This window comes from Homo sapiens, chromosome 3 (assembly GCF_000001405.40).
Source record: "Homo sapiens chromosome 3, GRCh38.p14 Primary Assembly".
Lineage (NCBI taxonomy): Eukaryota > Metazoa > Chordata > Mammalia > Primates > Hominidae > Homo > Homo sapiens.
Genome location: NC_000003.12, coordinates 149,903,135 through 149,926,313, shown reverse-complemented (window position 1 = coordinate 149,926,313; position 23,179 = coordinate 149,903,135). Strand labels below are relative to the sequence as shown.

General features: G+C 34.9%; 1 protein-coding gene and 1 pseudogene across 17 annotated transcripts in view; one reads left to right on the top strand and one right to left on the bottom strand.

The window, feature by feature from the left end:
• RNF13 (ring finger protein 13) overlaps positions 1 to 23,179 on the bottom strand; it is a 149,452-nt gene that overhangs the window by 35,826 nt on the left and 90,447 nt on the right. For 15 of the 17 annotated variants that reach the window (XM_047447380.1, XM_011512373.3, NM_007282.4 and 12 more), the window contains 2 exons: positions 14,231 to 14,336; positions 5,087 to 5,180 (listed from right to left, as the gene is read on the bottom strand). In XM_047447380.1, the coding sequence (XP_047303336.1) occupies positions 5,087 to 5,180; positions 14,231 to 14,336 (200 nt within the window). Of the gene's footprint in view, positions 1 to 5,086; positions 5,181 to 6,567; positions 12,252 to 12,471; positions 12,598 to 14,230; positions 14,337 to 23,179 lie in introns of those variants that run through there. The other 2 variants (NR_165474.1, XM_017005661.3) reach the window with 2 other exon arrangements.
• RNU6-720P (RNA, U6 small nuclear 720, pseudogene) lies at positions 8,865 to 8,972 on the top strand (annotated as a pseudogene).

The following is a 23,179-nucleotide window of genomic DNA, read 5'->3' as shown; positions in this document are numbered from 1 at the left end:
TGTGAACTCGGGAGGCGGAGCTTGCAGTGAGCTGAGATCACACCACTCCACTCCAGCCTAGGGGACAGAGCGAGACTCCGCCTCAAAAAAACAAATCAAGACAAAACAAAACAAAAATAGAAGAATACTACCATGAAAGGCAAGAATTCTGGTCCATAAACTAGAAAAAGACAGTTAAAACACAAGAATTATTGAAGAACTAAATTGCCATACTCTACGCCTCCCTCTGGAGGCTTGTAGGAACATATAAAGAATTCCTCCCATATATGAAACAGACACACGGGCATATATCATGAAAGGTACTTCGTGAAAGTGAAAATCCAACTGGCAAATAATGTGAACAGATATTTAACCTCATTGCAAGAAGGGAAATAAAAAGTAAAACAACGAGTTATAAACCCACCAGAATGCTAAAATTTAAAAGTCCATCAGTACAAAGTATTGGATAAATACATAGAACAACAGGAACTCCTATAGACTGTTGGTGAGAGTAGAAATTGGTACCATCAATCACTTTGGAAATGATTTTGCATTACCCAATAAAATTGAAAATAGCTATATACTATGATCAAATTAATCTACTTCTAGGTATATATGCTAAAGAAATTCATGGACATATGCACCAGGATATATGTACAAGTATATTCTCAAAAGTATGATTTATAATAGCCCTAAACTGAAAAAAAAAGAATGTCAATTAACAGTAAAGTGGGTAAGTAAAATCTTTAAAAGACAGAATGAAAGTAAATGAACTATACCTAAATGCAACTAAGTGTATAAATTTCATTAAAAAATTAATCAGAGGTAAGAAAAATACAATTCAAAAATAGGCAAAATTAAGCCAACTGTTTAGGTATGCATTCGTATGTGGTACAACTTGAGAAAGGCAGTGAAATTATCATAAACCAGGATAGTGATTACCTCCAGAGGACAAGAAAGGATTATTTATCTAGAAGGGAACATAACAGCTCCTGGGGTGGCAGTAATGTTCTATCTCTTGAACTGGATGATTCTAGAAATATGTATTCTACATACTCTTCTGTATAAATGTTATACTTCACATTTTGAAAAAAGTGATGATAAACACCACTCCATAGAGAAAAACAGTTATGCTGATGGGTTCAAAATGGGTTCAGGCTGCCAAGCAACCATATTATATTTCCCTAGTCCATTCCTCCTCCTACTCTCCTGGAATAATAGTATTTTATACCTCTGTTCTTAAAAGCTCCAATACCTCCTCCTCTGTCCTCACCCTCAGTTGGTGATTTCCTACCTGAGAGAAATTAAAGCAAAGAACATTTCCACAGACTCACCACTACAAATACCCACCTACTGTGATTTTTCACCCACATATTCTACTTTCCCTTAGCTCAAGTCTCTATGATACTACCTAAGGCCAGTTCACCTTTTTGTGCAAGATATCCAATCTCCTCTTGCCTTCTCAAGAACATTACAGGGACTCTCCCATCTGTCACCTACATCAATTTCCTTTAGCAAACAAACATGCTGTTATTTCTTGACTCAACTTCCCCCAGCAGCTATGACCCCATTTCTTTGCTCCCTTTTTTAGTTAAACTTCTTACAAAAACTATCTCTAATTCCTCTCTTTCCACCATTCTCTCTTAAATCAACTACAATCAGATTTTTGGCCTGACCACTCTGTCAACTGCTCATCAAGATCATCAATAGTCTCTAGTGGTCAATACTGAGCTCTCATCTTACTTATGTTCAGCAGCACTGACACAGGTTATCATTCCTTGCTCCCTGATAGATTTGCATCACTGGGTTTCTGGTAAATCACACTCTCCTGATTTTCTTCCTATGTAATTGGTCACACCTTCTCAGTCTCCACTGCTGCCACTTCTGATTCCTCTTCTACTGAATGATGGAATGCCCCACGGTGTCTTTGGTATTCTCTCTCTCTGTACGCACTCTCTTGGTAATCTCATCCAGTCTAATGATATAAATACATTTTCATGCTGGTATTTCCAGTTCAGACCTCTCTCTTAAACTTCTAACATCTAATAGACATCTGAAATTCCATATGTTCAATACCAATCTTCCAATTTCCCTCCTAAAACCTGCTCTCTCATACATTAACCATCCTTATTGCTATTTAAGGACTGTCCTTAAATAGACCATCCATTTTGTTGTTCAGACCAAAAAATCTGGAGTCATCCTTGTCTCCTCTTCCAATATCTAGTCCATCAGTAAATTCTGTGTATTCCATCTCCAGATACAGCCAGTATTTAAAGATTTCTTCTCCTCCACTGATATCACCCCAAGCCACATTTATATCACACCTGAATTACTACAATAACTTTCCTGTCTGTTCTCTCTGTTTATACCCTTTGCCATCTAATAACCTATTCTTAATGTCAGCAGAAGGATCCTTTTAACAGTTAACTGAGACATTCTCTCTCTCCTCTGTTCCAAATCCTACTACAGCTACCCATCTTACTCAGAGGAAAAGCCAATGACATGTTTTCCCTTTAAACCCAGGACAGTATCACCATTTTTTAAACTTTTCTTTTTTTTTTTTTTTTTTTGAGATGGAGTCTTGCTCTGCCACCAGGCTGGATTGCAGTCGTGTGATCTCGGCTCACTGCAACCTCTGCCTCCCGGGTTCAAGTGATTCCCCTGCCTCAGCCTCCTGAGTAGCTGGTACTACAGGCACGCACCACCACACCCGGCTAATTTTTTTGTATTTTAGTAGAGACGGGGTTTCACCATGTTGGCCAGGATGGTCTCGATCTCCTGACCTAGTGATCTGTCTGCCTTGGCCTCCCTAAGTGCTGGGATTACAGGTGTGAGCCACCGTGCCTGGCCATTTTAAACATATTTTTAAACACACAAAATGAAGCCTAAAAAAGTAATTCCTAATCTTCAAACTAGTTCTGGTCTATGTGGAAATCTTTAATCCAGGCTGGGCCCAGTGGCACATGCCTATAGTCTTAGCTACATGAGAAGCTGAGGTGGGATGATCACTTGAGCTCAGGAGTTCAAGTTCAGCCTGAGCAACACAGTGAGACCCCATCTCTTAAAAACAAAACAAAAAAAAACTATTAACTAATCCACACTGTATAATGATAATGTAAATCACTGTATAATAATAATGTAAATGTAAAATGCAGTGCATTTTTAGAAATGTCTATTCATTTCTTTATTTTAACATGATGTTCTTTTTCCTACTTTTTTTTGTTAAGTGTTCTATTTTTTAATGTTAATGGTAAATGGCAGGTTTATAAAACATTTTATTATTTGAAAAATAAAAATGTGGCAGAACTATGTTTTATTGCCTTTTTCTCTATTTTCTCCCTCCACTCCCTACACTTTTTCACTGCTGAATTAAAAAACAGAATATTTTTACTGGTATATGAAAATGAAGTCTGGGAAGTGCCAGCCAAAAGGATTTATCAAGTAGGTATCTGCACTAAAAGGTCACTAAATCACAGAGAAACTATACTATAGGGGAAACTTACATTGGCTATGGTATTATAGTCACACCTCTCCTCTAGTTCTGTCAATACTGGCTATGTGATATTAAAATTCCTAATGTCCCTGACCCGATTTTTCCTCATCTATAAAGGGAAAATAATAAGAGTATACAGTTCATAGAAGTATGAAAATTAAGATGATATATATAAGTGATGATATATAACAGCTACCTACCTATGTGTTTAGTTAATACAACACTATACAGTGTTATATTGTGGGAGACAGAATAGGAGGAAGGTAAGTGAGAGTAGTTCACCTGGTACAGAAAAATATTTTATCTACTGACATTGTTTAGAACTAATGGCACATGGTGATAATATTTACAAGCATTTTGGTTAGTTTAATTATTGTTTTTAAATTCTCTGCAGACTGTGCATCCTTCTCCTGCTTTCACCAGATCACAGCAAAACATCATCTCTCACATTCATTCATTCATTTATTTATTCATTCATTCTTAACTGAAAGTCTACTTAGCGTTAGGCATAGTTTATGGTAGGGACACAGAAGGTAGTATAAGAGTATAGTCTTAAAAAGTCAGGAAACAGGCCAGGCACAGTGGCTCACACCTGTAGTCCCAGCACTCTGGGAGGCCGAGGTGGATGGATCACAAGGTCAGGAGTCCAAGACCAGCCTGGCCAAGATGGTGAAACCCCGTCTCTACTAAGAATACAAAAATTAGCTGGGTGCAGTGGCAGGCATCTGTAATCCCAGCTACTCGGAAGGCTGAGGCAGGAGAATCTCTTGAACCTGGGGGGCGGAGGCTGCAGTGAGCCAAGATCGCACCACTGCACTCCAGCCTGGGTGACAGAGTGAGACTCCGTCTCAAAAGAAAAAAAAAACAAGTCAGGAAACAACAGATGCTGGAGAGGATGTGGAGAAATAGGAACACTTTTACACTGTTGGTGGGTATGTAAATTAGTTCAACCATTGTGGAAGACAGTGTGGCGATTCCTCAGGGATCTAGAACTAGAAATACCATTTGATCCAGCAATCCCATTACAGGGTATATACCCAAATGATTATAAATCATGCTACTATAAAGACACATGCACACATGTGTATTGTGGCACTATTCACAATAGCAAAGACTTGGAACCAACCCAAATGTCCATCAATAATAGACTGGATAAAGAAAATGTGGCACATATACACCATGGAATACTATGCAGCCAGAAAAACAGATGAGGTCGTGTCCTTTGCAGGGACATGGATGAAGCTAGAAACCATCATTCTCAGCAAAATATCACAAGGACAGAAAACCAAACACTGCGTGTTCTCACTCATAAGTGGAAGGTGAACAATGAGAACACATGGACACAGGGAGGGGAACATCACACAACAGGGCCTGTTGGGGGGTGGAGGGCTGGGGGAGGGATAGCATTAGGAGAAATACCTAATGTAAATGACGAGTTGATGGGTGCAGCAAACCAACATGGCACATGTATACCTATGTAACAAACCTGCACGTTGTGCACATGTACCCTAGAACTTAAAGTATAATAATAATAATAAAAATTTTTTTAAAGAGTATAGTCACCCTGCAGTCTTAAATAAACTAAGGATAATTATTTAGAAAACAAATACTTACCTTTCTTGAATTTATGTACAGGAAGTTTCTTAAGTTGATCTTTACGAAGTCTGTTTCTTCTAGCTCTATGTCTATCCTGGACAAATTTTGTGATCTAAAAATAAAAGAGTAAAAAAAGGAGTCAGATATTAAATGTGCAAAGAGAAAGTGACCATTAAAATAACAAATATCTTTTAAGTTTCTGGATAGCTACTGCAAATCAATTCAATTCATTTAAATTCTAATTGCAATAGTATTGTTAATTAAAGCATTAAATTACATTAGTGATTAGTTAACCCATGAATTACCCCTTGAATTTTTTATTAATTGATCTTGATTATCTTTGAATTACCTACGGAGACATTATAAAAATCATATAACTGTTTGCTTGCAAAAATACAAATGGTAAACTATAGATTTTATAAAGACTCCAATGGGTAAAAAAAAAAAAAAAAAAAGAATGGGAAGGTTGATATTCCTATATATTACAAACTGATAAAAATTTCAAACATACACTTATTAGTTACTACAGAATAACAGGCAGAAATAATGCAGAACACCTTCACTACAAATATTCAGAAATGCCGGATAAAATGTACAAAATATTTTAAACTATAAATTGCTATGCTTGCAAGAATAAAAAGAAAGTACACAGGGCCAAAAACCAAATACCAAAAACACCCTCTGTAAAGGAAAAATTTGACTATGTCAAAGTTAAGAACTTCTCTGCTTAAAAGGCACTGTTAAAAAAATAAAAGACAACTGAAGTGGGAGGACTGTTTGAGGCCAGGAAATCAAGACCAGCCTGGGCAACATAGTGAGACCCCATCTCTAAAAAGAAAAAAATTAGCCTGGCGCATTGCCGTGTGCCTGTAGTTCCAGCTACTTGGGCGGCTGAAGTGTGAGAATCATTTGAGCCCAGGATGTCAAGGCTGCAGTGACTCATGTTTGTGCCACTGTACTCCAGCCTGCACAACAGAGTGAGGGCCTGTCTCCAAAACATAAATAAGTAAATGAATACATAAATAAAATTTAAAAATGAAAAATACAGATGAGCCACAGACTGAAATAAAATATTTGCAAATTGTATACAAGATAAGGGATTTGTATCCAGAATATATATAAAAACCTCTCAAAACTCAATAATAAGAAAACAAGTTACCCAACAGAAAATGGACAAAATATTTGAAGATACTTCACTATACAAGACAAACAGCAAATAAGCTCTTGAAGAGATGTGCAATGTCTACTAGTAGTCAATAGGAAAACAAAAATTCAAATCATAAATACTATAATACAATATACCTATTAGGGTGACTAAAATGTAAAACACTGACTATACCAAGCGTTGGCACGGAAGTGGAGGGACTGGCACTCTCATACACTTTCTGGTGGGATTGTAAAATGGTACAACCACTTTGGAAAAGAGCTTGGCAATTTCTTATGAATCTAAACACACATTTATCCTGTGACCCAACTGTCCTGCTCCTAGATATACTTACCCAATAGAAATGAAAGCATATTTCCATACAACAAATGTCCATGTCAGCTTTATTTGTAATAGCCAAAAACTAGAAACAACCCAAATGTTGATCAATAGGTAAATGGGTAAACAAATCATGGTATATTCACACAATGGAATATATCTCAGCAATAAAAAGGAATGAACAATCCATGCACTCAATAACATATACAAATCTCAAAATAATTACGGTGACAGAAAGAAGACAGACACAAAAGAGTACAGACTTTATGATTCCATTTATATAAAGCTGTAGAAAATGCAAAGTAATCTATAGTGACTAAAATCAGATTTGTAGTTGTCTGGGCATGGAGAAGGGTAGTGAGGGGAGGATGAAGGAAAAGTTGGAAGGGGTAGAAGGAAGGCATTGCCAAACTTTTTAGGGTGGTTAATATTTCATTATCTTGATTGTGGTGGTGGTGGTTTCGCAGGTATACACATACATATCTGTTACATATGGATGATATATGTGATATACATATGCATAAGTGATATATATGCTTATAAACCTACATCAAAACTTACCAAAGTGTACAATTTAAATATGTGTAATTTATTATATCAAATCATACCTCCATAAATTTTTTTAAAGTTTAATGGTAACCACTAAAAGAACAGCAATATAATGCAAATGTTCATATCAATAGGAAAAAGAAAGTAAAAGTTATTATTGCAAATTTACACAGAAGAAAATACAGAATAAAAAGTAAACAATAGAAATTAATCCAAATACATGTGTGATCACAATATATGTTAAATGGATTAAATCCACCGTTTTCAAAAGGAGTGTATCACATTGTATAAGAAAAAAATTCCGATCATATGCTATTTACAAGACACAAGATTAAAACTGAATGATACATTAGGACAAAAATAAAAGTAAAAAATAAAGGGATAGGACCAGGTGCAGTGGCTCACACCTGTAATTCCAGTGCTTTGGGAGGCCAAGGCTGAAGGACTGCTTGAGCCCAGGAGTTTGAGACTAGCCTAAGCAACACAGAGAGGCCCCATCTCTACAAAAAAAAAAAAAAAACAATTAGCTGGGCATGGTGATGTGCGCCTCTAGTCCCAGCTACTTGGGAGGCTGAGGTGGGAGGATCACTTGAGGTTATAGTGAGCTATGATTGTGCCACTGTACTCCAGCCTGGGTGATAGAGCAAGACCCTGCATAAAATAACCAAATTAACATACAAAATAAAATAAAGGGATAAAGATCTACCATGAAAATATTAAGCAAAAGAAAAGCTAGAATATCAAGCAATAGAATTTAAGGCAAAAAGCATCATTAGGAGAGTCATGACAACAATAAAAACAACACCTCATCTAGAAACAAAATAGTGAAATACATACATTCACAAGCTCGGCAACTTATAGCTTAAGCACACAAAAAATTTAGAAGACTATAGACCTGTGCTGTCCAATATGGTAGCCACCAAGTACATGTGACTACTGAGCACTTGAAACATAGATAGTCTGAACTGGGATGTGCTGTAAGTATAAAATAGACACCAGATTACAAAGACACTATACAAAAAGAATATAAAAATATCATATATTTGTATTAACTGAATGTTGTTATATATTTTAGATTTATTGAGTTAAATAAATATAGTATTAAAATTAATCTCATCTGTTTCCTTTTTTTAACCTTTTAAATTTGGCTACCAGAAAATTTAAAATTACAATAAAATGTGGCTCATAATATTGTTCTATTCTTAGCACTGCTTCAGAAAATAGAAAAAGAACGCAGAAAATTATTAACGATTGTGGTGATGGTTGCATAATTCTGTGAAGATACTTAAAATTATTGAATTGTGTACTTTAAATGAGTTAATTTTAAGTTACATTAATTATGTCTCAATAAAGCTGTTAAAAGACTAGACAAAACAAATTCACAAGTTCGAACTAATGGACATAGAACTGCACTTCACATCTTTTCACACACATGGAATGTTTACAAAATTTAATCAGAAAACCATGCCACAAAGGAGGTTTTTGAAAATAACCAAAGAATCCATAACATACAATGTTTTCTTACCTCAACACAACTGAATTAGAAATCAATAGAAAAAAATACATATTTTGGAAATGTAAAACTGTACTGAAGTAATTCATAAGTCACAGAACAAATCATAATGAATATCTACGTTTCTGAGGGGGTGTTATAATCAGCATGCGCCCCTTTGCCACCTGGATTCTAAATAACTTGAGAAATAAGACCATGAACTGGCCAGAAGGAGGAAGTGTTTCTCACTGGAGACAGAAACAGAACTTTCTGTACTCGTTTCAGCAACACATATACTAAAATTGGAATGATACAGAGAAGATTAGCATGACCCCCGTGCAGTGCAAGAAACAGAATTTTTTATTGAGCAATAGAATTAGGTTGCCTTAGCCACTTAGATATAGACAAAGACAACTTTGGAATGAAGTAGGCCTTCCCTTCACTCTGCCGCAGAATTGCAGAACCAGCCCTAACCCTGGAGGAGCTGAATGAACATCTATGTCCCAAAGTCAGGTTAATAACAAAACAAAGATGGTGGAGCTGAACCAAGTGTGCCCAATTTGCCCTTCCTAAAGTGTCAGATAAGACACTTTATCTCCTCTAAGGTGGAAAGAGTAAATGGGCAGAGAACAGCTAAGAGTCATAGTAACTAGAGTTCCCCCTTCATATGGATTGAAACATTAAGAGTGATAAAGAAACATCCTATATTAAAATGAAAAACTTTTAAATTTAAGTCAAATGAAAGTAAGAATTTTCCTTATCAAAAGTTGTGGGTTTCAGCTAAAGTTATTGTTGTAGAAAAATTTATAACCTAAATGCATATACTAGAAAGAAAAAAATAAGCATTTAGCTGAATAAACTAGAAAAAGAAAAGCCATACAACCCGCTGTTCTTGAGTTTCAAGGGAAGGCTTCTAGCATTTCACCATTTAATAATGTTTATTTTAAGTTTTTAGTCTATATTTTTTATCTGTATAAGGTTATTTACTTGTACTCCTGGTTTTCCAAGGGTATTTTTGTTTGTTTGTTTTTTGGTTTTCTAACTTACTCTCTACTTTCTTGCTTCTATGCTGAAACCCCAAGGGAATCAACAACCAGACATACAACCAGACAAGGTAGAAGAAAGAAAATGATAAGAACAAAAATTCATGATAAAAATAAAGAAAGTAAAGAATTTAGCATTAAGTTCTACTAAAATGTAAGCTACTTAACATCAGGGATTTTTACCGATTTTGTTTACTGATGAATCTGCAGACCCTTGAACGGTGCCTAGTTCACCATAGGTACAGAATAAATATTTATTGAATGAAAGCCTACTTCTTTGAAAGACTAATAAGGCAATAATTTCTGACAACATTGTGAAAGGCACAGATGGATATGAATAAAGATAACTTATTCCACAAATAGTAGAAATTCTCTTTAAATTGTTATTTGAGTATATGAATATTATAAATCACTTTATTCCACTACACTTGAAAACAGGAAATTTCTTAGAAATACACTTTAGTAGGAACTGGAAAACCATCTGAATGTCTATATAACTATGAGAAGGTCACTAGACCTAGATGATTTTATAGGCATCCTCTACAAAAATGTCAAGTAACAGATAACCCCAATTTTCTTTAAAAAAAAAAAACTATTTTAGAAAGTAAGAGAAAGCTTAGTTTTATGAGGCTATAATTTTGATTGCCTAGTTAATTTTAAAATTACAGTAAAATATACACAACATAAACCTTACTATCTCAACCACGTTTAAGTGTACAGTTCGATGGCTTAAGTACATTCATACTGTTGTGCTACCATCACTACCATCCATTCACAGCCTTCATCTTATTAAGCTGAAACTCTGTATCCATTAAACAATAACTCCCCCTTCCTCAGTCCCCTCAGTCCCTGGCAACCACCATTCTAGTTTCTGTCTCTATGAATTTGGCTACTCCAGGTACCTCGTGTAAGTAGAATCAGTATTTGTCCTTTTGTGACTGGCTTATTTCACGTAGCATAAAGTCAAGTTTCATCTATGTGGTAGCATGTGTCAGAATTTCCTTCCTTAATAACACTGAATAATATTCCATTGTATGCATATTCCACATCTTGTTTATCCCTTCATCCATCAATGTACACTTGGGTTGCTTTCATCATTGGCTATTGTAAATAATATTGCTATAAACATGGTGTACAAATATCTATTCGAGTCTTTGCTTTGAATTCTTTTTGGTATATACCCAGAAGTGGAATTACCAGATCCATGTTTTATTTTTTGAGGAGTTGCCATACTGTATTCTTTAGTGGTTGTTCCATTCTACCTTCCTACCAACAGTGCTCAAGGGATTGTCTAGTTTTGATGTCAAGGTGGCCCCATAAAACCAAAGTTTTCTTTTACCTGAATATCCAGATTGCTAATATTCTAGAATTTTTACATCGATATCCAAGTATAAAAAATTAATCTATATTAGAAATCTGAATAATCCAGAGATGTAAGGACAAAATTTATACATCATAAACAGGATTTATCCCCAGAATATAAGGAATTTCAAAATTTACAAAGCATATTAATGTAACCCAACACAAACATGATAAAAGAGAGAAAAACCAATTATTATTACAACAGATAAAAAACATATAATCCAGTACCCATTTAAAAAAGTCAAGCAAATAAAAATCTGATTTATGTCCACGACTTATACTGCTTTTTCCCCTTTATTTTCCCAAAAAATATAGCACAATGTTAAAGGAGGTACAACAATAGACATCCATTTCCTGTTCTTGACTTTTTTTTTTTTTGAGATGGAGTTTCGATCTTGTTGCCCAGGCTGGAGTGCAATGGTGTGATCTTGGCTCACTGCAACCTCTGCCTCCTGGGTGCAAATGATTCTCCTGCCTCAGCCTCCCGAGTAGCTGGGATTATAGACGCCTGCCACCACACCCAGCTAAATTTTGTATTTTTAGTAGAGACGCGGTTTCACCATGTTGGCCAGGCTGATCTTGAACTCAGGCTGACCTCAGGTGATCCGCCCGCCTTGGCCTCCCAAAGTGCTGGGATTACAGGTGTGAGCCACCGCACCCGGCCCCGCTGTTCTTGAGTTTCAAGGGAAGGCTTCTAGCATTTCACCATTTAATAATGTTTATTTTAAGTTTTTAGTCTATATTCTTTATCTGTATAAGGTTATTTACTTGTACTCCTGGTTTTCCAAGGGTATTTTTGTTTGTTTGTTTTTTGGTTTTCTAACTTACTCTCTACTTTCTTGCTTCTATGCTGAAACCCCAAGGGAATCAACAAACAAATTACCATAATGGAATTTGTTACATGATTACATGATTAATGACATGATTACATGATTAATATATAAAAATCTATAATGTCCCCTGACCAAACCTTGCTTTCTAAATATAGCTCTCTAATTAAAAAAAACATGACTCCCTGGGAAAAGGTCTGATGCTAGGGCTGGGACAAGAAAAATATAAAAAATATAAGATGAACCTGAAGCATCTTATAGTACAAGATAGTAGTCAAGAAGTGCTTAATAATAAAAAAAAGGGATAGCGTTGAATCAAAGGAACACAAGATCCAGCATGACAAGAGCCAAAGTTAAACAATTTAAAAACAATCAAAAAACAAAAATAATGTATGAATATTACTGGATTATAACCTAAGTGTAAAATAAATATACATGAGTGTATACTAATGAAAGTGGTTGAATAAATAAATGCTGAGAAGAGAAAAATCTTCCTTGTAGAAGAATTTCAAATAATGCAGATATGCCCTCCCCTTCCCAGCTTAAGGGTGGGCTATAGTTAGTGCCTCACTTCTAAAGAAAGAAAAGAGTAGAAAAAGGAAAAAATATTAACTTTATAAGTGGAGAAATTCAGCAAACACTACCTTAACCAAGGGATGAAGGTTAGCATCATCAGTGATGTTCTACAGATACCATATACCCTCAAATATGATGTGATGAGAAGGGCACTTCACGTCTGTGATACTCTTTTGAAAAACCTGTAGCCTTGTCTAATCATGAGAAAAAAATCAGGTTGAGAGACATTCTACAGGATACCTGGCTAGTACTCAAAATTATCAAGGCCATGAAAAACAAGAACAGCAAAATTGTCATAGACCAGAGGGAAGACAGGATAATGAAATACAATGTGGTATCCTGGATTTGATCCTGGAACAGAAAGAGTACATTAATGAAAAACCTGGTAAAATCCAAAATGTGGAGTTTAGTTAACAGTAATGTACCAATGTCAGTTTCTTAGTTTTGACAAAAGTCTCCTGGCAATGTAAAATGTTAACAATGCGGGAAAGTAGATGACGGATGAACAGGAATTCTCTTCTTTGCAAACTTTCTGTAAATCTTAACATTATTCCAAAATTAAATGTTTAATAAAAAGCAATGCTCTAATACTCAATTATAAGAATAGCCAATTAAAAAATATAATTTCAAAAATCCTTTTTTTGGTAGCAAGAAAAACTTACTATATGTGTAATAAGTCTAAAAAAAGACATGCAAAACATTTATAGGAAAAAAATTATTTAACTGATGGAAAGGCCTAAATAAGTAAATTTAAAAATACCATAGCATCATAGGAAGACTGAACATTTTAAAGATAGCATTTAATCTTTAAACTAATCTATGAATTCAATACAATAATAAATGTACTGAATATGAAAATATGTATTCTTTATGACAAAGAAGTTGGCAAGAAGAGTGGGACTGTTTTATATCTTTGCAAATCTATTTTAATATCTGTCCAAATAGAATACAGAGGGATTTTCAAACTGCTTCTGTTTTCAAATATTTTGATATTGCACATCATGTAGCCTATAGAAATTTTTACTGTACACCTCTAAGAGAATGAGAGTGACCAAAGGAAATACTACCTTAATATTATTACATAATAATTTTGAGCTTGCAGACCTACTAATAGTCTTGTAACCGTATTTTGATAACCACCGTTATGGAGAAATAATATGTCATTCCCCCTTAACCTTAAGCTCTCACATTATTTTTTTCATACTTTAATATAAAAAATTTCAAACATACAGAAGAGTTGAATTTTATAATAAATACCCATATATCCACCTGGATTCTATAATTAACATTTTACTGTGCTTTTTGTCACAACCCTATTTACCCATCAATACATCTTACTTTTTCCTCTTATTTTTTTACAGTGTATTTTAAAGTAAGTTGCAGATATCAGTGTACTTTCCCTAAAATACTTTGGCATGCATGTCATTACTAGGTTTAGTAAATTTTTTTTGCAATTCGTTTTGAGGTAAAATTTACATATAATGAAATGTACAACACAATTAATTTTGTGAATCCAGACAAATGCCATGCATTTTTGCAACCCACATCTCTAACAAGATACAGAACACGACTGTCATCCCCCAAAAGTTCCCTTATACTCTTTTCAGTAAATCGATCACTTCTCTCTAACCCCCCGCGGCAGAGGAAATCACCATTCTTACTTTTTCCTATTCACATTATCTTTGTTTTTTCTAGAACTTCACATAAATGAATTTATATAATATGTACTCTTTTATGTACACATTGTTTAAATTCTCTCACTCAATACAATGTTTTTAGATTCATCCATACTATTTTTTAAAAATTATTAAAAGTTAATGTACCTACCATGAAAATGACTATCAAGATGAGACAGATGCCCACTATGATAAGGAAGGGAATTAGGTAGTATTCCAAAGGAAGACTAAATTCTGGAACTAAGATAAGGTGGCCCCTAGAAGAAAACAAAAATCAATAATTGAGAAATGAAGAGTTGTTAAATTCTGATGTTAATTAAAAACAGGAAAAAATATTTTTAAAAACAGACATATAGACATTACAATTAAATCCACTACATACATTTCATTTTCTAAAATATGACTTTCAATAATTTAAGGAATGCTTTCTACATCTTTAAGTCTATTTTACATATTTTTCCTAATAGCATGCCTATATGATTAAACTGGGTAAAGAAAACTAGCCAATCAATTCTTACTGTGTCTATCCTGGAGATATGTTATTTATTTATTTATTTTATTTTACTTTTTTTTTTTGAGATGGAGCCTTGTTCTGTTGCCCAGGCTGGAGTACAGTGGTGCAATCTCAGCTCACTGCAACCTCCACCTCCGGGGTTCAAGTGATTCTCCTACCTCAGCCTCCTGAGTAGCTGGGATTACAGGTGCCTGCCACCATACCCTGCTAATTTTTGTATTTTTATTAGTAGAGAGGGTTTTGCCATGTTGGCCAGGGTGGTCTTGAATTCTTGACCTCAGGTGATTCGCCTGCCTTGGCCTCCCAAAGTGCTGGGATTACAGGCGTGAGCCACCACGGCAGGTCTAGAGATGTTGTTTATTGAATTTAGTAGCTGGGGCAAAAGTTATATTTTATACGTAAAATCATGGTAGTACCTTGGGTACCAAAAAGAACCTCCACCTCAATCAAATTACTGTTCATAAGTTCTTCCTATGGAAAAACTCTAGCGTCAGTATTGATAAAAATTATACTGTTTCCTCCCTATCTGCTTTACATGTATCTGTTGTATCAGGTACAATGGATACAGGTCCTATACTCTACAATTATCTATGAGATATGGAATGAAAAACTGGTCAAATAATTCATAAGAGTTATGGCTTCCTGTATATCCCCCACCTTCTCCACCACTGGACTGAAAAAAACTACAGAAATGTGTATGTTGTAAGGTGGGTAATAGGAAATGCTACATGCCTTAATTCTCATTTATCATTAACCATGTTATTACTGTGACATTATCATTATAAAAATTGACAGGGACCCATGAAATAAAACTGTAATCAGAATAAGCACATCATTTGTGTTACATGAGGAAATTTTACATGGCATCAAAGCTCTGCATTAAAAATACCCTTAGTTTAGGGAAGAGTTTGTATAATGTTCAGTAATATGACAGATATGACAGATGAATCCATTGGGTCCACTGTGCTACTAGACTAGTACGGTGCCAGCAAAGCTACTCTGTTATCCACTGCTAGTTAATTTTTTAAGTAGTGAAGCCAGGTATTTCATAACCGAAAGGTTCAATGCAAAACAATCGTTCTCAGTATAAAGGAAAATAACAGATTTACTCCTTTCCTCATACAGAGGTGCTTAGGACACCATAGCACTTAAGACAAATAACATGTATGCAACTTATTTTTTTCCGAGACTATTTTTAAATCTTTATGCTATTATTTCTTATACACACACACAAGGGGCTCTATCAAGCTTCAACAAACAAAAAATACCAGGAATTTACCCCAATAATTTAAACTTTCCAAAAATTGCTACGATTGCTAGAATACAAGTAGCTTTTTACTTCACTTTCCAGCAGAATGGGGGATGACAAAGGATTTCACACACATTTGTATAGCTTTGCACAAAATACTAAAGTAACTAATATATCATCAGTGTAAAAAAGAAAATCAGCAGCAGCAGGGCCTAAGCTGCTCTATTTGATACCATCTCTTCCAGCACGAGGCCAGCCAGCTCCGCAATTAATATCCCTGTTCCCGGCACATACCCTCTGAAACTGCCCTGAGCCAGTGGTACCACTTTTAAGTATAAGAGCCTTTCCATGAGACGCTAATCCTCTATAACCTCCCTACCCCACAGCCACTAACCTGCTATAAATAAACACTATCAGGGTTTAGAAGCCAGACTATTGCATATCCTAAATTCAACCCATTGTAACTTAGTATCTCAGCAGTAGGAAGGCTTACAACTCTCATATTCTGTTTTTTTTTTTCTTCTCTTTTTATGTTTATGACTTCCTAAGGCACACTCAGCCTTGATGAGATAAATAAATCCTGTCCTATGAGACAAGCCCCAGGGTTGCTCAGAAATAAACAGAGCTTCTAGGTGAGAAGGAGCAAGCTAAAAGAACAAATCAGGAAGTCCCAGTGAACTAGGAACTTCGTGTGTGTTTGTAACGGCAGAAATGGAATCAATTTCAGAATTTCCCAGGAAGCATTATGCTAAGATTCATACGCCCGGGTTCTAAATCTAATATTCTACATATCCTATTAATGCTTTCCATTATAAACTAAATACCATTTTAGTTTACCGTCAAGATATATTGTGGGGATTTTAAAGGGTCAACAATTGATAAAAGATTTTGAGCATCTTGCCTGTAATCCCAGCACTTTGGGAGGCCACGGTGGGTGGATCACTTGAGGCCACAGGAGTTTGAGACTAGCCTGGCCAACATGGCAAAACCCCATCTCTACTAAAAATACAAAAAAAAAAAAAAAAAAAATTAACCAGGCATGGTGGCCAGCACCTGTAGTCCCAGCTTCCCCAGGGGCTAAGGCTGGAAACTTAGCTTGAACCCGGGAGGCGGAGGTTGCAGTGAGCTGAGATCGCACCACTGCACTCCAGCCTGGGTGACATAGTGAGGCTTTGTCTCAAAAAAAAAAAAAAAGGTTTTGAGCATCTTGAATCAAAAGCTCAATGTACACTCAAGATACTGTTTTTTTCTTAACCAAATTGCTAACAGTGGATGTGGTGATAGTGATGATACAGGGAACTACAACAGAACTACAATGGAATTTCAGTCCTCTGGCTCCATTTCTATTTCTTCTGTCAGCCCAGGTCTCCCACAGCTGAACTTGCAGATTCATCCTTGCCCTAGTCCCAGATTAATCTGTATTTGAGGAAGAAGGTATTTAAACAGGTAATTATCCTACCACACTGCCTCTATGTCCATGCCTAAATACAGCACATCTTATGAGCTCTGCAGCTAAGATTTGATCACTGAAGCAGAGTCCTAAGCAACCCAGAAAATAGGGTCTTATTTTCCTTTGTGTGACTTCCCAGGCTAATTTCAAACCAGCTGCCTAGGCTTAAGCTTGATAATAATAACCTGTCTAATTTCCCCATCCTTCTGTTGACACATGAAGTCTTGTCTGTTCTTTTCTGACATCCAACCCCCACCAATCAAACTACTAAGCCTCAGTGGATTTACAGCCACACAGCAGAGCCTTCTGTCCTATAGATCAGCTTTCCAGGCAATAACCTGTATTCAGCCCAACTGCTGGATATCCCCACTATTTCATCTGACTACTTCCTTGAACTTGCTCCTTTCAGACAAAGCTCACAGCTGCCTCATTAAACATCTTACATCACTTAATAAACAGGCTCTGTGTCCCCATTTACTGCCAGTGCACTGCTCTGTCTTCTTGAGGAATTCTGAGGTAACATAAAAGCAGTTTAATTTCATTAGAATTTACTAAATGTCTACTGTGATACAGTCAATGGGCCTGGTGCTAGGGATTAAATGTGAAAAAATAGAATCCCTAACCATCAGAGAGAATATAGAAATCTTAAAGGAACCTCAATATTCTTTGTTCTAACTCTTCATTTTCAAGAGAAAATATGTCCATGAAGATTAAATACCCTCCCAAAGGCCACACCCCAGCAATCCCTCCAGTGAACTGCACTACTCACTCTGATCAAAAACAAGCTTTGTCTCTGCCCACAACTTGTAAAAGTTGTATGTTATCCAATAATTTGCCTTCCCTAATAAAAGTTACAAAATGCTTCTAGAATTTAAGTTTTTAAAAGACCAAAATTGACAAAGGACACCAAACAGTTTATAAAACTATTCACTGTGAATAAAGAAATGCTAATCGGACCAACTCATTTTCTTCTTGTCAGATTGGGAGGTCATAAAAAGACTGATAATATGTATTACTGGCAAGAGTAGGGGAAAACATTGGCTTTCCTAAAATGTTGGTGGAAACATAACTGCTTTTTAAAGGGCAATATGACAATTGTTTACTGAAATTTAAAACTGTTTCTCCTTAATCAAAAAAATTCCACTTTTAGGTGCTTTTGCTAAAGAAACATTTGTGCAATTGCACATAGTATATGGTCAAGGATATCATTATAGCACTTTCTGTAATAGACAAGAATTGGAAGGTAAGCATTAACATTTATGAAGCATTTACTATGTCCCAGGTATTCTTCTAAGAATTTTATTAATGTGTTTAATCCTTCCAGCAATGCTATATGCTGTAGGTTCTATTATTGTTCACATTTTAATGAGGAGAGAGGCTACGGCCCAGAGATAATAAATTTTTTGTTGAAGATCACACAGCTAACAAGTGATGGAAGCCAGGATTTGAATCCACACAGCTCTTACTCCAGAGGTCATGCTTATAGTCGGTGGCTTACTGGCTAAGTAAATTAGGATATATCTAAACAATGGACTATTGTTAAATCCAGAATATACCATCCTTTTTAAAAGTAGTTAAAAGAGTGAACAGTAGCTAAAAAGAATAAAGTACAATAAAACAATAATTGATGAATACTTCATTAATATGATAAAAAACCAGAATCTTACTTAAAGAAACGAGAAGCTTTCTTACTAAAGGGAGTAACAAGGGAAAGATGCCTATCTCTACTACTATTTAACATGGTGTTAAAGTTATTACCAATGCAATTAGATAAGGGAAAGCAATTAGAAGCATAAGAATTGGAAAGGAAAAGATAAAACTATTTCTATTTATATGAAAAAACTGCCATCAACAGTAAGAGAATTTAGTCAAATTGCAGGTTATTATATCCACACTCAAAAATGAGCTTTCAGCTGTACAAATAAAAACCAGTTAGTAGATGTAATGAAAGAGGAGACTCCACTTATGATAGCAAACAATAAAATACCTTGGCATAAATTTAACAAGAAATGTTTATCTCACATAGATTTTGGACTAAAAAAACTAAACAAAGCTGAATACATAAAAACAGAATTCGCTGCTCACTCACACCTGTAATCCCAACACTTTGTGGAGCTGAGGCGGACAGATTGCTTGAGTCCAGGAGTTCAAGACCAGCCTTGGCAACATGGCAAAACCCCAGCTCTACTAAAAATACAAAAAATTAGCTGGGCAAGGTGGTGCATGCCTGGGGTCCTAGCTACTCAGGAGGCTGCAGTGGGAGGATCACCTGAGCCTCGGAGATCAAGGCTGCAGTGAGCTGGCACCACTGCACTCCAGCCTGCGCAACTGGAGTGAGACCCTTTCTAAATTAAAAAAAAAAAAAAAAAAAAAAAAGCAGAATTGAACAAATGAAAGGACATACCACACTCTTGAATAAGGAGACTTATCCTAAAAATGTCAATTCTTCCTAAATTAATTTATGAATATAATGTAATCTCAATAAAAATCTTATCAGGTTTTTCTGAAGCTAGACCAGTTGATTATTAAATTCCTTTGGAAGGAAAAACTGGAACCCTCATACATTGCTGGTGTGAATATAAATTGGTGAAGGCACTTTGGGAAAAAGTCTGGCAGTTCCTCAAAGTGTTAAACATAGAGTTACCACATAATGCAACAATTCCATTCTAGGTATATACCAAAGAGAAATAAAAACATATGCACATGTAAAAATTTGTACACAAATAGTGAAAAAAAAAGCATTATTCACAATAGCCAAGTTGTGGAAACAAGCTAAATGTCCATCCATCAACTGATGAATAGATAAACAAAACATGGTATATCCATACAATGGAAAGCTATTCAGCAATAAAAAGAATAAAGTACCAATACATGTTACAATATGATGAACCTTGAAAACATTACATTAAATGAAAAAAAATCATAAAATATTATATGATTCCATTCATGTGAAATAACCAGAATAGACAAATCCATAAAGACAGAAAGTAGATTAGTGATTGCCTGGGGCTGGAGTGGACGAAGAAGGACTGGGGAATAGGAAGTGACTGCAAATGTGTACGGGGTTTCTACTTGGAATATTGAAAAAGTTCTAAAATTAGAATGTGATGATGATTGCAGAATTCTATAAATATACTCAAATCACTGAATTTTACACCTTAAATGGGTAAACCTTATGGTATGTGAGATATATCTTAATAAAATTGTTTTAAAAATTTCATTGGGAAGGACAAAAAAAAACCCCATTGGAATAACTGATGGCTATTTGGAAAAAGATATGATTGGATCCATTCTTCAAGCTATATATAGGATAAATTACAAATGAACAAAAGATTTAATATTAAAAACAAAACCATACAAGTATAAATGTGGGTGAATTCCTCTATAACACAGGAGTAGGGAAAACTTTATTAAGACTCAAGACCAACAGCCCAAGGGAAGAGATATTTGATTTTTGTTTACATTAAAAAAAACCCAACATCATAGTGAAATAAAAATTTCAAAATACAAAAAAAAGTAATATTAAAAAATAAAGGACCAACATAACTAATAAAATACAGAACTTCTAAAAATAGGGAAGAAAATGACCAATAATCTAATACAAAAAACTGGCCTAGAGGTAAACAGCTCATAAAAGATAAAATATAAGTAGCGCTTAAGCATAAGAAAAAAATGCTTAAATGTGCTTGTAATAAGAGAAATACACATGAAAACTATAATAGAATACCATTTCTCACCTATCTGATTAGTAAAAATAAGCAAATCTGACAACAACTTTGTTGGTGAGGGTACAATAAAAGAGACACCCTCATAAACTGTTGGCATGACCCTTACGGATGGGAATTGACAATATCTAGCAAAAATACATATACATTAAAACTCTGAACTAGCAATCCCACTTCTAGAAATCTATTCCAAAAGTATACTGGCAAAAACATGAAAACACTTAGGCATAAGGTTATGCATTACAGCAGTATTTATAATTACAAAATAACGTAACCGATTCAAATGCTGATCAACAGGGGACTGGCTGATTAAACTGGAACATCCACAAAATAAGAGTTCTATGCAGCTGTACAAAAGAATGAAGAATATCTCTATCTACTCAAGGATAAACAATCAAGTCAAAAGCAGGATGGGGAATATTGTTTATGCACTAAGGGTAGAAGATAGGGGAGAGGAGATATATATTTTCCTACATATTTTTAAATTTAATGAACTAAAGAATAAATTAAAGTCTTTTTTTAATTATTACTTATAAGGTAAGGAGAGGAACAAGATGGACAAGATGGATGATACTTAGAATCTGAACTTCTCTGAATATACATTGTTTCACTGATTTTGACTCAGAGTTTATATATAATTTTTAAAATCACAGTTGGGGGTAAGGGGAGCAATCGCCAAACTCTGAAAGCAAATGAATCAAATAAACCTGTGTTTTCAATTTATAACATCAGCACACAGACTATTTCACTTTCTTTTAAAAAAAGAATTCGCCTGTAGCCCCCAGCTGCTGGGGAGGCTAAGGTAGGAGGATTGCTTGAGATCAGGAGGCAGAGGTTGCAGTGAGTTGAGACCATGCCACTGCACTCCAGCCTGGGCAACAGAGTAACAGCCTGTCTCAAAAATAATAATAATAATGATAATAATTTAGCTTTATCTTATCTATTATGACATATTCTAAGCAGAGAAAGAACTGTTTTTTAAGAAATGTTGGTAATAGCATTGATATTCTTCTTCTGAGTCTGTTGTGTACATACTTTACATTTAGAAAAGACAATATATTATTATGTTGGTGTCTTTCAGCATAGAAAAATAAAATACCCATTTAAGGTCAATAAAGTAAAAATTCTAGACCTTTGTATTTAAATTGGAAGCAACAGTATACACTCATGATTTATTGTATCTTTAAAAGCCATATATATTTCCTAGTTCTGCCCACTGAAAGAGAGGGGGCTTGAGGGTAAAGTAGGTGGTAGATAGATACTAAACAGACAGACAGATAAATAGATAGATGATAGGTATAGGTAGGTAGGTAGGTAGATAGATAGACAGACAGACAGACAGACAGACAGACAGACAGATAGACAGATATATAGATAGATAGATAGAGTAGATCTTTATGTACGGGTCTACAATTCCTTATGACCAATTCTAAAACCTAAAAAGCTTTAAAAAATAATGTTTGCAATTCATTTGACAGTCAACTTGAAGTGAACTGACATGAAAAAATAGCCATATATTTATTGCAGATACATTAATTTGTTTGATTATGGGGTGTTGCCTCAAATTCTATTTGGAATGTTATTTAACTTTTTAAAATTCAAACATTTTTCAATGCCACAATATATCTGTAGCCAAGAGGTGGGATAAGAGAGTTTGTAAACTTGTATTCACCTGGAAAGGGTCAAAACATTAAGTAAATAAAGCAAGTTACAAATTATTAGGCACCGTATGGTTCCATTTTATGAGCATGTGATCACTAATTAAGGTGAATAAGCAAATATGGGGAAAAACAAAGGGCTTTTTAAAAAACAGTAGTTGGTAAGCAATAGTGTCACATAGAGACTTTCACTTTAAATATTTTATATTTCAATTTTTCCATATTTTGCTAGTATCTATATATTACTTCTTAATTTTAAAAAGTATGGTTTTATAATTAAAAACAAAAAATACTCTTTAAAATACATATTAAAATATATAGAAGTATTCTAAACGAGGGAGCAATATTGAGGTAAAAGCAAGTACTAATTCTCCTCTCTTTTAACCAAGCAAACACGGCTGACAAAACACCACTTTGCATAACTGTTTTTTGATACAACTTCCAAAATTACATTCCTTAACTTAAAAAAAATGTTCTGAGCATATAATATGTGAACAGTATTTT